This window comes from Homo sapiens, chromosome 5 (assembly GCF_000001405.40).
Source record: "Homo sapiens chromosome 5, GRCh38.p14 Primary Assembly".
Taxonomy (NCBI): Eukaryota; Metazoa; Chordata; class Mammalia; order Primates; family Hominidae; genus Homo; species Homo sapiens.
In genome coordinates, this window is record NC_000005.10 from 75,968,612 (window position 1) to 75,987,642 (window position 19,031).

Here is a 19,031-nt window from a genome sequence, read left to right on the forward strand (position 1 = left end):
GAGAAGTTTAGAGAAAAAAGACTAAAAAGAAATGAACAAAGCCTCCAAGAAATATGGGACTATGTGAAAAGACCAAATCTACGTCTGATTGGTGTACCTGAAAGTGATAGGAGAATGGAACCAAGTTGGAAAACACTCTGCAGGATATTATCCAGGAGAACTTCCCCAACCTATCAAAGTAGGCCAACATTCAGATTCAGGAAATATAGAGAACACCACAAAGATACTCCTCGAGAAGAGCAACTTCAAGACACATAATTGTCAGATTCACCAAAGTTGAAATGAAGGAAAAAATGTTAACGGCAGCCAGAGAGAAAGGTCGGGTTACCCACAAAGGGAGGCCCATCAGACTAACAGCTGATCTCTCGGCAGAAACTCTACAAGCCAGAAGAGAGTGGGGGCCAATATTCAACATTCTTAAACAAAAGAATTTTCAACCCAGAATTTCATACCCAGCCAAACTAAACCTCGTCAGTGAAGGAGAAATAAAATACTTTACAGACAAACAAATGCTGAGAGATTTTGTCACCACCAGGCCTGCCCTAAAAAAGCTCCTGAAGGAAGCACTAAACAAGGAAAGGAACAACTGGTACCAGCCACTGCAAAAACATGCCAAATTGTAAAGACCATCAAGCCTAGGAAGAAAATGCATCAACTAATGAGCAAAATAACTGGCTAACATCATAATGACAGGATCAAATTCACACATAACAATACTAACCTTAAATGTAAATGGGCTAAGTTCTCCAATTAAAAGACACAGACTGGCAAATTGGATAGAGTCAAGACCCATAAGTGTGCTGTATTCAGGAAACCCATTTCACATGCAGAGACACACATAGGCTCAAAATAAAGGGATGGAGGAAGATCTACCAAGAAAATGGAAAACAAAAAAAGGCAGGCATTGCAATCCTAGTCTCTGATAAAACAGACTTTAAACCAACGAAGATCAAAGAGACAAAGAAGGCCATTACATAATGGTAAAGGGATCAATTCAACAAGAAGAACTAACTATCCTAAATATATATGCACCCAATACAGGAGCACCCAGATTCATAAAGCAAGTCCTGAGTGACCTACAAAGAGACTTAGACTCCCACTCAATAATAATGGGAGATTTTAACACCCCACTGTCAACATTAGACAGATCAACGAGACAGAAAAGTAACAAGGATATCCAGGAATTGAACTCAGCTCTGCACCAAGCAGACCTAATAGACATCTATAGAACTCTCCACCCCAAATCAACAGAATATACATTCTTCTCAGCATCACACCACACCTATTCCAAAATTGACCACATAGTTGGAAGTAAAGCACTCCTCAGCAAACGTAAAAGAACAGAAATTATAACAAACTGTCTCTCAGACCACAGTGCAATCAAACTAGAACTCAGGATTAAGAAACTCACTCAAAACCGCTCATCTACATGGAAACTGAACAATCTGCTCCTGAATGACTACTGGGTACATAACAAAATGAAGGCAGAAATAAAGATGTTCTTTGAAACCAACGAGAACAAAGATACAACATACCAGAATCTCTTGGACACATTCAAAGCAGTGTGTAGAGGGAAATGTATAGCACTAAATGCCCACAAGAGAAAGCAGGAAAGATCTAAAATTGACACTCTAAAATCACAATTAAAAGAACTAGAGAAGCAAGAGCAAACACATTCAAAAGCTAGCAGAAGGCAAGAAATAACTAAGATCAGAGCAGAACTGAAGGCAATAGAGACATAAAAAACCCTTCAAAAAATCAATGAATCCAGGAGCTGGTTTTTTGAAAAGATCAACACTATTGATAGACTGCTAGCAAGACTAATAAAGAAGAAAAGAGAGAAGAATCAAATAGACGCAATAAAAAATGACAAAGGGGATATCACCACCGATCCCACAGAAATACAAACTACCATCAGAGAATACTATAAACACCTCTATGCAAATAAACTAGAAAATCTAGAAGAAATGGATAAATTCCTCGACACATACACTCTCCCAAGACTAAACGAGGAAGAAGCTGAATCTCTGATTAGACCAATAATAGGCTATGAAATTGAGGCAATAATTAATAGCTTACCAACCAAAAAAAGTCCAGGACCAGATGGATTCACAGCCGAATTCTACCAGAGGTACATGGAGGAACTGGTACCATTCCTTCTGAAACTATTCCAATCAATAGAAAAAGAGGGAATCCTCCCTAACTCATTTTATGAGGCCAGCATCATCCCGATACCAAAGCCTGGCAGAGACACAACCAAAAAAGAGAATTTTAGACCAATATCCTTGATGAACATTGATGCAAAAATCCTCAATAAAATACTGGCAAACCGAATCCAGCAGCACATCAAAAAGCTTATCCACCATAATCAAGTGGGCTTCATCCCTGGGATGCAAGGCTTGTTCAACATATGCAAATCAATGAATGTAATCCAGAATATAAACAGAACCAAAGACAAAAACCACATGATTATCTCAACAGATGCAGAAAAGGCCTTTGACAAAATTCAACAACGCTTCATGCTAAAAACTCTCAATAAATTAGGTATTGATGGGATGTATCTCAAAATAATAAGAGCTATCCATGACAAACCCACAGCCAATATCATACTGAATGGACAAAAACTGGAAGCATTCCCTTTGAAAACTGGCACAAGACAGTGATGCCCTCTCTCACCACTCCTATTCAACATAGTGTTGGAAGTTCTGGCCAGGGCAATCAGGCAGGAGAAGGAAATAAAGGGTATTCAATTAGGAAAAGAGGAAGTCAAATTGTCCCTGTTTGCAGATGACATGATTGCATATCTAGAAAACCCCATCGTCTCAGCCCAAAATCTCCTTAAGCTGATAAGCAACTTCAGCAAAGTCTCAGGATACAAAATCAATGTGCAAAAATCACAAGCATTCTTATACACCAATAACAGACAAACAGATAGCCAAATCATGAGTGAGCTCCCATTCACAATTGCTTCAAAGAGAATAACATACCTAGGAATCTAACTTACAAGGGACATGAATGACCTCTTCAAGGAGAACTACAAACCACTGCTCAAGGAAATAAAAGAGGATACAAACAAATGCAAGAACATTCCAAGCTCATGGGTAGGAAGAATCAATATCGTGAAAATGGCCATACTGCCCAAGGTAAATTATAGGTTCAATGCCATCCCCATCAAGCTACCAACGACTTTCTTCACAGAATTGGAAAAAACTACTTGAAAGTTCATATGGAACCAAAAAAGAGCCCACATTGCCAAGTCAATCCTAAGCCAAAAGAACAAAGCTGGAGGCATCACACTACCTGACTTCAAACTATACTACAAGGCTACAGTAACCAAAACAGCATGGTACTGGTACCAAAACAGAGATACAGACTAATGGAACAGAACAGAGCCCTCAGAAATAATGCCGCATATCTACAACTATCTGATCTTTGACAAACCTGAGAAAAGCAAGCAATGGGGAAAGGATTCCCTCTTTAATAAATGGTGCTGGGAAAACTGGCTAGCCATATGTAGAAAGCTGAAACTGGATCCCTTCCTTACACCTTATACATAAATTAATTCAAGATGGATTAAAGATTTATATGTTAGACCTAAAACCATGAAAACCCTAGAAGAAAACCTAGGCAATACCATTCAGGACATAGGCATGGGCAAGGACTTCATGTCTAAAACACCAAAAGCGATGGACAACAAAAGCCAAAATTGACAAATGGGATCTAATTAAACTAAAGAGCTTCTGCACAGCAAAAGAAACTACCATCAGAGTGAACAGGCAACCTACAAAATGGGAGAACATTTTTGCAACCTACTCATCTGACAAAGGGCTAATATCCAGAATCTACAAAGAACTCAAACAAATTTACAAGAAAAAAACAAACAACCCCATCAAAAACTGGGCGAAGGATATGAACAGACACTTCTCAAAGAAGACATTTATGCAGCCAAAAAACACATGAAAAAATGCTCACCATCACTGGCCATCAGAGAAATGCAAATCAAAACCACAATGAGATACCATCTCACACAAGTTAGAATGGCGATCATTAAACAGTCAGGAAACAACAGGTGCTGGAGAGAATGTGGAGAAACAGGAACACTTTTACACTCTTGGTGGGACTGTAAACTAGTTCAACCATTGTGGAAGTCCGTGTGGCAATTCCTCAGGGATCTAGAACTAGAAATACCATTTGACCCAGCCATCCCATTACTGGGTAAACACCCAAAGGATTATAAATCATGCTGCTATAAAGACACATGCACATGTATGTTTATTGAGGCCCTATTCACAATAGCAAAGACTTGGAACCAACCCAAATGTCCAACAATGATAGACTGGATTAAGAAAATATGGCACCTATATACCATGGAATACTATGCAGCTATAAAAATGATGAGTTCATGTCCTTTGTAGGGACATGGATGAAGCTGGAAACCATCGTTCTCAGCAAACTATTGCAAGGACAAAAAACCAAACACTACATGTTCTCCCTCATAGGTGAGAATTGAACAATGAGAACACATGGACACAGGAAGGGGAACATCACACACCGGGGACGGTTGTGGGGTGGGGAAGGGGGGAGGGATAGCATTAGGAGACATACCTGATGCTAAATGATGAGTTAATGGGTGCAGTACACCAACATGGCACATGTATACATATGTAACAAACCTGCATGTTGTGCACACGTACCCTAAAACTTAAAGTATAATAATAATAAAATAAAAAAAAATTAGCCAAGTATGGTAGCATGTTCCTGTAGTCCTAGCTGCTCAGGAGGCTAAGGTAGGAGGATGGTTTGAGCCAAGGAGTTCAAGGTTACAGTGAGTTATGATCATGCCACTGCACTCCAGCCTGGGTGACAGAGCAAGACTGCCTCAAAAGAAAAAAAGAAAAAAAAGAAAAAGAAAAAAAAGTAAAGAAATGTGTTTTCCAGGAGGGTCAGCTTATCAATTGAAAGATAGACGAGGGGAGATTGATACATGTGTAACATTTTGAATGAGTGACATAATAATTACACTGTTCTGATGATTAGGTTTATATTTAGCCATAGATCAGGATTATGACAGACTATATAGAAGAGTAAGTACTACAAAACAGGAAGCTGTTCTTTCTCTTTATCTGCACTCAGTAAGTACTTGTTGAGAGAATTAATATATTTAATTTGAATGAATGATGTATGGTGTCTAGTATACAGCAGGATCTCTCAAACTATTTGGTAACTATAGGTAAACTAACCTCATGTCATATGAAATTGAGAACATTTCTGCCTCAAAACATCTAGGAACATTGATTATCTCTTATTTGCACTATTTTTTAGAGAGAATTTTTTTGTTAAAGATGGGAATATGGTATTATTAAAGGGATTGAGAACCATGGTCAAAAAAATGAGTTATGACTGCAAATGTAATACTAATATCCAGGGAGATCAACTTATAAATTCACTTTTTGTATTCTTGTCATTATTTTATCATTACTATTATTATTATTTATTTTAAGAAGTTCTGCCTTCAATGAAACAATAATGATCCTGAGTTAATGATGAGGTTTTTAATTTCTACATAGATGTTTGGATTTCTCACATTCTTGAGTTTCATGGCAGAAACCCAGGTTCAGCCAAAAACTTTATTTGCTAATATTTTAAATGGAACCATCGAATCTACCTTAGCAAATGATTTGCTTTCAGAATTATGACCTTAAATACAGCATTGTAATAACTTTTAATTTTCTAAAATATATGAGAACACACTCTTAGAAAGTTAAGGGAAATGTCAGTAAAATAAGTCAGATTCTTCCAAGTTATTTTCATTTTCCCTTCAAAGATATATCCTTTGCTGATACCATTATCTCAGGTTGTCATCAAATGGAATGACCGTTCTTCTCATTTGTCTCTGAATAACAGTCACTACCCATGAGTCCTCAGAGAGAACTCTCTCCACTCTGTTTGGAATCCTTTTACCTGATTGATTTGTAGTAATATGAACAGTGATGGCATATTGGGATGGTGAGAGTGGTCTCACGCCTCCTATAACAAGAGCTGTGCTTTCACCTTTTTAAGCTAAATTCACATACGTGGATAATAACAGATTACCTGTTAGATTTTATAACATCTAAGTTTTGCATTTTGGCTTTCCACTAAGCAAAATATACCTATAGCGTATAGGGTTAAAAATGTAAATCAATATGGCTCTCATTTGCTGAGAGTTTACTTTGTGCCAGAGGTTTAGGTTTACTATTCACAACCCTCTGAGGTATATGCTATGATTATTGCCATTTTACAGATTTAAAAATTGAGGCTTTGAAAAAACTTGTCAAAGTCACAGGGCAGGCAAGCAACAGAGGCAAGAATTCAAGTCATAATAGTCTGCTCCTACAGCCTCTGCTCTTAACTATTATAGCATGCTGATTCCCATAAACTGATAGAATTATCAATGACAGTTGAATCCATTACTTTGCAGTTGTCCTAAGGGTCATTCCACTAGAAAGCATGCGACATCTGACCTTGACATAGTACCACTGAAGAGCCAAACCAAAAACCATAGCACTTCTGTGGTATTGCAGGATAGGTGATTTTCAAATACAGATATGTGAGGCTTATTAAAGCATAAATTCAGGTCAGATCACAGGAGTGCACCTAGTGAAGCCCTATTTGTATGTATTTTTATGGTTTTAATATTTATTAAATGATGAAGCAACTGTCACTCTTCAAGTCAGTTTGATATCTGCCTAAAATGAAAGGATGGACTTGTAAATTAATCACCTGAACTTGGATATAAATGACCACATCTGTCAAAATCCTTGCTCCATGTCTATAGACATATTTTATTTCCAATTCATGTAGGAATTTACTTAAAACTTAGAGGATGTCTAAGACCTATTCTTGACACTTTCCTGTGTCTCATGTTGAATACGATAATGTGCACTGGGTGTGAATCTTTTAAGCTTTCTCAAGCTCCATGTGACAAGATATACACTTCAGAGAGGGATTAAAATCCTGGAACCTCTTCTTCTGGTTCTGTGAACTCGCAACAGGAAGGACATTCTGGTTTCTAGGCGTAAAAGCCTGTTTTAATGATGCTTTATATGCAGAGCCTTGGGATGCATATATTACAGGCATTGTAAAATAGAGATGGGATTAGAGTGTTGAGGCTCTGGGGAAAGACTTGGAGCACAGCTGTCTTCACACAGTGACATAAACTTAGAAGAGCACCGAAGCTCAGGCAGCATCGGTCTCTCTATCCCTTACAGCTCTACATAAAACTGTCCTCTCTGATAGGCAAAGAGAGAAGAAGCAGAGATTATGCTTTCCTGTTCATAAAAGAGTTTTGTATCATTAGCTATAATCTCAAGTCATTAACTTAAATCCATATGGCAGAAGAGCTAGGATGCACATGTACTTACTGAAACCGTGCAGGAATAACAGCAATGGCTCATTTGAAGACTGCCTTTGAATGGCCGGTATAGTTAATTATAGTTTGAATGGCAGGTATAGTTAATCGAAAATTGTATGCAAGAAAGGAAAATGGAATTAATATGTTTGTTTAATAATGACTTGTTCAAAAGCACTGTATCAATGTCAGTCTGCTCATTTCCATGCCAGTCTGCTCATTTTCTCTAATATCATTTTTTAAAGAGATGTTTTCAGATTTCATATTCATTCTCTCTCTCACTCTCTCTCTTTCTCTCTCTCTCTGGAGCAGGAATAGTCATAAAATAAGAAATGTGGAGATCATTTATGGAGTACAGAGAAAGACCTATAGTTGTTTCAGGCCTTAGAGCTGGTAAGGGGAAAAAACTGGAAGTCAAACTCTTCATCGACTGTTAATTCATAATTTTTTCTGTAATCAGGTTGGAATGAGATGTGCAGAGAGGATGCAGCCTGCATAACAATAACAGGCTTTCAGACAGAGTCCAGTCTCGGTGGTTACCTTCCTTCCTTATATAGTCTTCCCAGAGAGCTTGTACAATGAAAAGCAACATGACCAATTGAAGAATACCATGCTTTTAATCTTAATGTCAAAATCCATTTCTAGATCCATTTATAAAGCAGCAACTTAATGGATATTTCTCAATATTTGAGTTAAGTTCAGTAAGTTCTTTATGGAATAAAAATATCTATTAATATAGCTTATCAATAACTTAAATATGAAAAAATGATATGCTCAATTGTTACCTAGAAGGTATTTGATAAAAATCCTATGTTTCCAACTTAAAACTTTAGAAATAGGATACTTTTGTAATTCGAAAAGCTAGCTCTATTCCAACATAGCGGTACATCCCCCTCAATGGGGAAACACTAGAAATATTTCCATTAATTTCAGAAACAAATCAAGGATGCTCATTACAAGTCATAACATTTAATCTTATAGCTGTTCCAGACAGTGCAATACAAATGAAACAGAAATGACAGAAAAGGGTATTGGAATGGAGAAAAATTATTTATAGTCTAAATATATTTTTGCATAAATGAAAAATATAAATTATTTACCAAACCCAAGAAAATCTACTATTAAATAAAAATTATGAGGGGCCATTTTGTTTGGGACTGAGCTCCTACCCTGTGTTCAACAGACCAGACCAAACCAGAATGGAGTCCCTTGTGTTAGATACCTGTAGTCAGGCTGAACTTTAAAATGGGCCAGTTCTCAAAAAAACAGGAGATTTACAGCAATCAATCAGAAAGGCCCAGTTTACCTGAGCTGGCACAATAAGGACGTCCTCTTTGTTTTAACCCTATAAGGGAAGTAACTTTGTAACCACCAATCTGCTTTTTGTTCCTCGTGTTTGTTTTCTTCAGCCTTCTCTTGCCTTTACAGAAAGTCCACTTCCTCTGCTCAGTTCACTGGAACTCCTATTTTATGGATGAGATGTTGCCTGATTCATTAATCACTATTAAAAGCCAATTAGACCTTTAAATTAAATTTGTTGAAATTTTGTTTTTTAGCACTACCAAGAAACCACTGGAGGCTCTAGTCCATGTGTTCTGTTCCTTTCAAAGAAGAGCCTTCTCCTCACCCATAGCGGGCTGAAAGGGAGCCTCACTCAGAACAAAGAACCCATCAAAGGCAAGCTTCCATATACTTCCGGCAGTGCATCTGCCAACACATGCACAGCCTTCGTGCCTGCCTAATGGATGTACTGCCCTTGGTCTTAGCCATAGCCTATCCCTTCCTTTGTGCACTGGCTCATATCCTCCCTCACCTAGTTAAGGACATCACTCTTGCACTTATCCTCTCCTCTCGAATTATCACATTTTCCTGCTCTGCTGGACCATTCCCATTAACATGCAAACACTGTATGGTAGCTTCCATTTCAAAAAGCCATTCCTGGGCTGTCATCACTCTCCAGCTACTGCTCAGTTGCTTAGCACCCCTTTCCAGCAAAACTCCTTTAAAAAGTTGTCTTTAACCACCTTTTGTATATTTTGACCTCTGATTATGTCTGGAACCATGCCTGTTAAGCATTTGCCCCCTACCACTTCACCAAAATTGCTCTTGCCAAGGTCACCAATGACCCCCATATTGCTGCATAGCAGAGTCAATTCTCAGTCCTGTTCTTATTCCATCTATCAACAGCTTCTGACTCACCTGGCTGCTCCCAATTTTTGAGTGATTTCTTAGGCTATGCAACACCATTTCTCTTGGCCCTCCTTATACCACACTAGCTGTACTTTGTAGCTCTTCTTCGCTGGATATTCCTCTCCTTCTTATTCTCCAAATATTGAAATGTCTCAGGGATTGGCTCTGAGACCTCTCTTCTACATACTCTAACCACATAGACAATGTCAAATAGTCACGTGTCCTCAAATATCTTCTGTAGTCTAATCACTCTAAAATTTATTATATTCCATCAATTCTAAGACACACTGTTTTTCACACTTTATTGCATTTGAAATTGGGCTGTGTCTTACAATTGATGCCCATCTTATAATCTTTGTCATCTAGGAAGGGGTAATGAAGTAGTTGCTCTTATCCACACAAATATATATGTTTCCACAAAAATTTAAATATATTATTGTTTAGATTATTAATAATTTAGTTCAGTTATATGTACAGTGGCTATTACTCATGTTGGTACCACACACAACACACTGCAACTGAATGGAGAGAAATTGCCAAATACCTTGAAAGAGGTGAAAGATATTTCAAGTAAAGAGGGTCTGACCCATTCGTATGCTGTCTTCAAGAGACTCATGTCAGGGCTGGGTGCAGTGGCTCATACCTGTAATTCCACCACTTTGAGGCTTAGGAGGATAGATGGCTTGAGGCTGAGGCAGGAGGATTGCTTGAGCCTGGGAGGCAGGGGTTGCAGTGGGCTGAGGTCATGCCACTGCACTCCAGCCTGGGCAACAAAGCACGACCCTGTCTCAAGAAAAAAAATAAAAATGCAATGACACACGTAGCCTCTAAATAAAGAGATAGTGGAAAATCTACCAAGCAAATGAAAAGCAGAAAAATGCAGGAGGGATTGCAATCCTAGTTTCTGACAAAACTGACTTTAAATCAACAAAGATAAAAAAAGAAGGGCATTACATAATGGTCAAGTGTTCAATTCAACAAGATGATCTAACTGTTCTAAATATATATGCACCCAACACAGGTGCACCCAGATTCATAAAGCAAGTTCTTAGAGACCTTAAAGAGGGTTAGACTTCCATATAGTAATAGTGGGAGACTTTAACACCGCACTGTCAATATTATACAGATCACTGAGACAGAAAATTAACAGAAATATTCATGACCTGAACTCAGCACTGGATCAAATGGACCTGATGCCTACAGAATTCTCCACCCCAAAACAACACAATATACATTCTTCTCATAATCACATGGCACTTAGTCTAAAATTGATCACATAATTGGAAATAAAACACTCCTCAGAAAATGCAAAAGAACTGAAGTCATAGCAAACGGCCTCTGGGATCACAGCACAATGAATTAGAAATAAAGACTAGGAAATTCACTTAAAGCCTTACAATTACATGGGAACTGAATAACCTGATCCTGAATGACTTTTGGGTAAATAATGAAATTAAGGCAGAAATCAAGAAGTTCTTTGAAACTAATGAGAACGAAGATACAACATACCAGAATCTCTGGGACACAGCTAAGGAAGTGATAAGAGGGAAATTTATAGCACTAAATGTCCACATCAAAAAGTTAGAAAGATCTCAAGTTAACAACCTAACATCACAACTAAAAAAATTAGAGAACCAAGGGCAGATAAATCCCAAAGCTAGCAGAAGACAAGAAATAACCAAAATCAGAGCTGAACTGAAGGAGATAGAGACACACAAAAAATTCAAAAGATCAGTGATTCCAGGAGCTGTTTGTTTGAAAAAATTAATAATACATAGACTGCTATCTAGACTAATAAGAAAAGACAGAAGACGCAAATAAACACGATCAATATGATAAGGGAGATATTACCACTGACTCCACAGAAATACACACAATCAGAGAATGTTGTGAACATATCTATGCACATAAACGAGAAAATCTAGAAGAAATGGATAAATTCTCGGACACATACATCCTGCCAAAACTGAACCAGGAATAATTGAATCCCTGAACAGACCTGTAAAGAGCTCTATAATTGAGGCAGTAATTAATAGCCTACCATCCAAAAAAAGCTCAGGATCATACAGATTCACAGTTGAATTCTAGCAGACAGACAATGAAGACTGTACTATTCTTATTGCAACTATTCCAAAAAATTGAAAAGGAGGGACTCCTCCCTAACTGATTCTATGAGGCCAGCATTGTCCTGATACCAAAACCTGGCAGAGATACAACAAAAAAAGAAAACTTCAGGCCAATATCCTTGATGAACATCAAGGCAAAAATCCTCCACAAAATACTGGCAAACCAAATCGAACAGCACATCAAAAAGTTTATCCACCACTGTCAAGTAGGCTTCATCCCCGGGATACAAGTTGGGTTCAACATACACAAATCAATACATGTGATTCAACATAAACAGAACTAAAGGAAAAAAAATATGATTATCTCGATAGATGTAGAAAAGGCTTTTAATACAATTCGATGTCCATTCATGTTAAAAACTTGCAATAAACTAGGTATTGAAGGAACATACCTCAAAATAATAAGAGCCATATATGACAAACCCATAACCAACATCATACTGAATGAGAAAAAGCTGAAAGCCTTTCCTCTTGAAAACCGGCACAAGGAAAGGATGCTCTTTCTTACCACTCCTATTCAACACAGTACTGGAGGTCCTGGCCAGGGCAATCAGGCAAGAGAAAGATATAAAGAGCATCCAAATAGGAAGAGAGGAAGTCAAGCTATACCTGTTTGCAGATGACATGATCCTATAGCTAGAAAGCCCCATACTCTCAGCCCAAAAGCTTCTTAAGCTGATAAACAACTTCAGCAAAGTCTCAGGATACAGAATCAATGTGCAAAAATATCACTAGCATTCCTATACATCAAGAACAGTCAAGCCAAGAGCCAAATCAGGAACAAACTCTCACTGACAATTGCCATAAAATGAATAAAATACCTAGGAATACAGGTAACTAGTGAGGTGAAAGATCTCTACAAAGTAAACTATACAAACCACTGCTCAAACAAATCAGAGACTACACAAACAAATGGAAAAACATTCCATGCTCATGGATAGGAAGAATCAATATTATTAAAATGTCTATACTGCCCAAAGCAATTTATAGTGTCAGTGTTCTTCCCATTAAACTACCATTGCCATTCTTCTCAGAGCTAGAGAAAACTATTTTAAAATTCATATGGAACCAAAAAAGAGCCTGAGTAGCCAAGGCAATCCTAAGCAAAAAGAACAAAGTTGGAGGCATCACACTACCCAACTTCAAACTATACTATACAGCTACAGTAAACAAACAACATGGTTCTGGTACAAAAACAGGTACATAGACCAATGGAACAGAATAAAGAACCCGGAAATAAGACCACACGCCAACAACTATCTGATATGCCACAAACCTGACAAAAACAAGCAATGGGGAAAGGACTCCCTATTTGACAAATGGTGCTGGGATAACTGCACTAGCCATGTGCAGAGGATTGAAACTGGACCTTTCCCTTACACCATTTACAAAAATCAACTCAAGATGGATTAAAGACTTAAATGTAAAACCCAAAACTACAAAAACCCTGGAAGACAACCTAGGCAATACTATTCAGGACATAGGCACAGGCAAAGATTTCATGACGAAGATTCCAAAAGCAATTGCAACCAAAGCAAAAATTGATTAATGGGATCTAATTAAACTAAAGAGCTTCTGGACAGCAAAAGAAACTATCAAGAGAGGAAACAGACAACCTACAGAATGAGAGAAAATTTTTGCAAACTATACATCTGACAAGGGTCTAATATTCAGCATCCGCATATTCTCACTCATAGATGGGAATTGAACAATGAGATCACATGGACACAGGAAGGGGAATATCACACTCTGGGGACTGTTGTGGGGTGGGGGGAGGGGGGAGGGATAGCATCGGGAGATATACCTAATGCTAGATGACGAGTTAGTGGGTGCAGCGCACCAGCATGGCACATGTATGCATATGTAACTAACCTGCACAATGTGCACATGTACCCTAAAACTTAATTAAAAAAATAAAAAGAAAAAAAAAAAGAATTTAACAGTTTTGCAAGAAAAAAACCCAACTCCATTAAAAAGTGGGCAAAGGACGTGAACAGACACTTCTCAAAAGAAGACATACACATGGCCAACAATCATATAAAAAAAGTTCAACATCACTGATCATTAGAGAAATGCAAATCAAAACCACAATGAGATACCATCTCACACCCACCAGAATGGCTATTATTTAAAAGTCAAAACACAACAGATGCTGGTGAGATTGTGGAGAAAAAGGAATGCTTTTATGCTGTTGGTGGGAGTGTAAATTAGTTTAGCCATTGTGGAAGACAATATAGTGATTCCTCAAAGATCTAAAGACAGAAATACCATTCCACCCAGCAATCCCATTACTGGGTATATACCCAAAGGAATATAAATCATTCTGTTATAAAGACACATGCACATGTATGTTTATTGTAGCACTATTCACAATAGCAAAGACATGGAATCAACCTAAATGCCCATCAATGATAGACTGAATAAAGAAAATGTGACACATATATACCCTGGAATACTATGCAGTCATAAAAAACAACAAGATCATGTCCTTTGCAGGGACATGGATGGTGCTAGAGACCACTATCCTTAGCAAACTAATGCAGGAACAGAAAACCAAACACCGCATGTTCTCACTTATAAGTGGGAGCTGAATGATGAGAACACATGGACACTTAGAGGCGAACAACACACACTGGAGCCTTTTGGAGGGGGGAGGGTGAATAGTTGGAGGAAGAAGATTAGGAAAAATAACCAATGGGTACTAGGCTTAATATTTGGGTGATGAAATAATCTGTACAACAAACCCTCATGATACAAGTTTACCTATGTAACAAACCTGTAACAAGCAAGTTTACCTATGTAACAAACACAACATAATAATCTGTAATATAAATCTGTACAACAGACCCTCATAACACAAGTTTACCTATGTAACAAACCTGTACTCATACCCCTGAACTTAAAATAACAGTTAAAAAAAAGAGGATCTGGTGTGACTAATCTGCGTGTCACTCGGGACCATCATTATGTGGCCGAAGAGCAGCTGTCAGAAACTTTGAACAGAACTACTTAACTTTCAGCACCAAATGATTCAATTGAGGGAAAAAATATAAGTTTAGAAAAATGACATCAAAAGCTGCAGAAAGAAGGTCTGCGGCTTGGGAGGAAAACTCTGGAGCTGATAGTGGCATTCTTTTAAGAAATGCTGCAATCACCGATGGTCATGAGTGCAGAAGATGATAATTGTAGTGCAAATATCTTGTCTTGTCATTCACAGGTCTCCTAATAAAGAGGAGCCACATCAAAATCTGATGCAGGTTGCAAAATTATGGGCCAGCTTTAAAAAAAAAAAAAAAAGATGTTTTGGCGAACTTTATAGGTGATGAGTGTATTTTGCATGTAGAAGGCATGTGAACAATGGCGGTTGTAGGACAGACTGTGATAGTTGCATTCATAGTCTCATTTGATAGCTTCCTTGTATCTGCGCCCTGTGCCCAGTAACTGCATAGTGCCTTCCCTGCCTCTGAGATTTGCCTTATGACTTGCTTTGGTCGATAGAATGCTAGCAAATGTGACCCAAGGAAAGGACTGAAAAGCACTTGTCCTTTCTGCTCTCCTTCTTGCAATGGTTTGCATTCTAATCCTTTACTCAAACTGTGAGTATATTGCTGCATGTTTGTAATGGAGGGAAATAAGAGACAGATGGAGGAGACAGCTAAAATGCCGAGTTGTCTCAGCCATCTCGGCCAGCCCAGCTACTCCAGCTGAAGCTGTCTTAAGTCAGTCTATAGCCATGTGAGGGAACCCTGCCAAGATCAGAAGAGTGTCTGATCGAACCCCTCCTAAACTGCCCACCCATATAGAACTAAATAAATGCAAAATGGATGGATTAAAATACTCTAATGGAAACTGCATGAACAATGCAGTAGATATACTGTTCTTGGTTGTGGAGGTAGAATTAGGATCTATAGACATAAGTTACCAAAAAGCAGATTTACATTCCAGTGAAGGAAAATAATCTAATAAGTTGACAGAAAGAGAATATGAAACTTTCTTTTTATAATAATAGCAAATAGCAAATGATAGTAATAAAAGGGCCTACTATATGCTAGGCTAGGTGCTTTGCCTCAGTTATCAAATGACCTAATATAAATCTTGCAGCAAGCCTGTGAGGTTATTACTATGCCCATTTTATAGATAAAGAAGTTAAAAATCAGAGAGGTAGTAATTTACCCACTGTATCAGTCAGGGTTCCATGAGAAGTAAGAGATCTATCTGCCTATCTATCTATCTATCTATCTATCTATCTATATCTATCTATCTATCTATCTATCTATCTACCTATCTATCTATCTATCTATCTATCATCTATCTGTCATCTGTCTATCTAGCATCATCATCTATCTACCTAAGGAATAGACAAGAAATTGGCTTATGTGATTGTGAGGACTGCATAGGCAAGTCTGAATTCCATAGGGCAAACCATCAGGAAGGGCAGGCTGGAACTTTCAGACTCGAACTGAAGCTGCAATACACAAGCAAAATTTCTTCCCCAGGGAAGTCTTAATTCTTCTCTGCAGGTTTTCAATTGATTGAATCAGGCCCACCCAGATTACCTAAAATAATCTCCTTTGCTTACACTGACTATAGGCTTTTATCACATCTTTACCTTCACAGCAGCACCTCGATTAGTGCTTGATTGCTGTCTTAGTCCATTTTTGTGTTGCTATAACAGAATACTTGAGGCTGGGTGATTTATAAAGGAAAGGGGTTTATTTGGCTCATGATTCTGGTGGCTGGAATGTTCAAGAGTACACAGTTGCATCTGGTGAGGGTCTCCGGCTGCTTCAACTCATGAAGGCAAGCAGAAGAGGAGCAGCTATGTGCAAAAAGATCACATGGGAGAGAGAAAGAGAGAAAGAAATCCTGGAAGCTAGACTCATTTTAGCAATCCACTCTCAGCAGGATCTAACCCATTCCTTGGAGAATGAAAATTCACTCACCCGAGAGGGAGGGCATTAATCTATTCATGAGGGATCTGCTCCTATGATCCAAACACCACCTACTAGGCCCCACCTCCCAACACTGCTGCATTGGGGATCAAATTTCAACATGAGTTTTAGCACAGAGAAACCGTATCCAACCCATAGCAATTGATCAACTGGGAACTACAGTCAGGTTGACCCATAGAATCAACCATCACACCCAAAGCCTGTGCTCTCTCCAGGATATAATTTCATCCAGTGCTCTAATAAGCACCTGCTCCTAAAAATTGGATCCTCACTATTACCAGAAATATACAAACATAAGCTGCTTAATGATTTGCCAGAAATGGGGAAAGATGTCCTTGCTCTAGATGGAAGTTAGACTAGAGTCCATTCCAGGGCTGAGATTCAGTAGTCTTTTGTTACTAAGTAGTAACAAAAGTAATGTTAAAAAAAAGTAATGTTAAAAAAAGTAAAAAAAGTGATGTTACTACTTAGTAACAAAGTAGTCAATGTTACTAAGATTTGCTTAGTAGGAGCTCTTAGAGAGCCCACATTAGTAGATAGAGAATGCTAAAGGGCAATATGTGAAATAGGTGCATTCACAATATTTAATAAGTCTGCTTATAAACAGCTTATTGTTAGTTTTGGAAACACCTTTTCAATCTTATTTAAAATATTAATCTGAATAATCTCAGGATAATGGGCTTATTAAGTAAATGAAAAGGATAATCACGTGTTTGTATCTGTATTCTCACTGTTTTTGAATTGATTGTGAATAAATGTAGTGTTACAATATACACCATTTGAAGAAATAACTAATATTTTACATACTAAAGTCGGTTGTGGTAGGCCATTATTCGGCCTACCACAACCGACTTCAGTATGTAAAATATTAGTTTGCAAAGACATCCAGCTTCTAATCCCAGAACCTGTGAATGTTACCTTGTATGCTAAAGGAACTTTGCATATATGATTAAGCTAAGGATCTTGAGATGGGGAGATAAGCCTGGATTACCCAAATTGGTCCAGTGGAATTACTTAGTGCAATCCCTGAAAGATGGATGCAGGAGGACTCAGAGCCAGAAGAGATGGAGACGGATGACAGAAGCAGAGAGTGAAGTGATGTGCTCTGAGAAGAGAAAGGGTCTACAAGCCAACTAGTACAGGTGGCTATTAGAGGCTAGAAAAGGCAAGAAAACATTGCCCCTCAGAGCCTCCAGAAGGAATCAGCCCTGCCAATATCTTGACATTAGCCCAGTGAAATTTTGGACTTTTGCCTTCCAGAACGATAAGGGAGTAAATTTGTGTTGTTTTTAAGCCACTAAGTTTGTAGTAATTTGTTACAGCAGCAATAGAAAACTAACATATTCAATAGAGAAAGTTTTTGGTAGTTACTTATTCTAGGCTTAGTTTTAGGACAGTCTTCGAAGGGCAGGTAACAAATACCACTGGTTCCATTCATAACCTCATTCTCACTAGCTGGAGATGGTCTTTGCTGGGATACATGTCTCCGTGAGTCTCTTGCATTTCTTTATGTCTTGTGTCTGTTTGTTCTGGATTGTCTTTTCAAGGATGTTTGTATAGTCAAGAGCCTTCGCAGATAGAGATACTGTCTCCCTTTGAGGCAGAGGCCAGATGCATTTGCTGTCCAGAGTATCCCACTGTCCAGGATAATAAAGATAATGTTTTCCTCTGGGGTATGGGTTAGGCATGTTTGCTGGCAATGCTTTTAAAAGATAGGGGCTTACTAAATTTAGCATTTCTCATTTGGGACACAAACCCACCATGCTCTCCATATCAACCTAGACCTGCCTCTACATTGTGTCCATGGGACTTTGGGGAAGAAGGACAGGGAAAATCAATGCAAAATGAAGCTCACACTGCTCGCTGTGTTCTAAGTTATAAAGTCCATTGTTTCTGAACCAAGAGTCTTATGCCTCCTGCCAGCGTCCATGAACCAGTAGCAGGCAAATTTGTTAGTTTGCAAGTAAGGTAAAATCTGACACTTAACAGTTTTTGATGCACTTCCAGCTGGGGGTAGCTGTGTCACATAGTATTGGCTTGTGAAATGTATACAGAAGTCTGATGAGGGTGTGACTGAAGGTACTTTCTTGATTATTCCATCAATTTCCCCCTTCCTTTGACCTGTAACTCAGACAGGATTCAGGTACAACATCTATCTTGCAACTATGAGGCCAAATACCAAAACGCTAAAGATGATAGAGCAGAGAGTTGGAAAGTACCTGGATGCCTGATGGCATCTTTGAGCAGGAAAACCAACTCTGGACTACCTACTTCCAGATTTCTTCTTATGTGAAGAAAACAAAACCCCTGTTTGTTCACTGTAATGTTGAGTAGATATTGTTATTCAGAGCTGAAGGCATTTCAGATCAAAAG

General features: G+C 38.3%; 1 protein-coding gene across 1 annotated transcript in view; it reads left to right on the forward strand.

Moving 5' to 3' along the window:
• The window catches only part of SV2C (synaptic vesicle glycoprotein 2C), a 506,476-nt gene that overhangs the window by 121,148 nt on the left and 366,297 nt on the right, over window positions 1-19,031 (forward strand). The window lies entirely within an intron of this gene.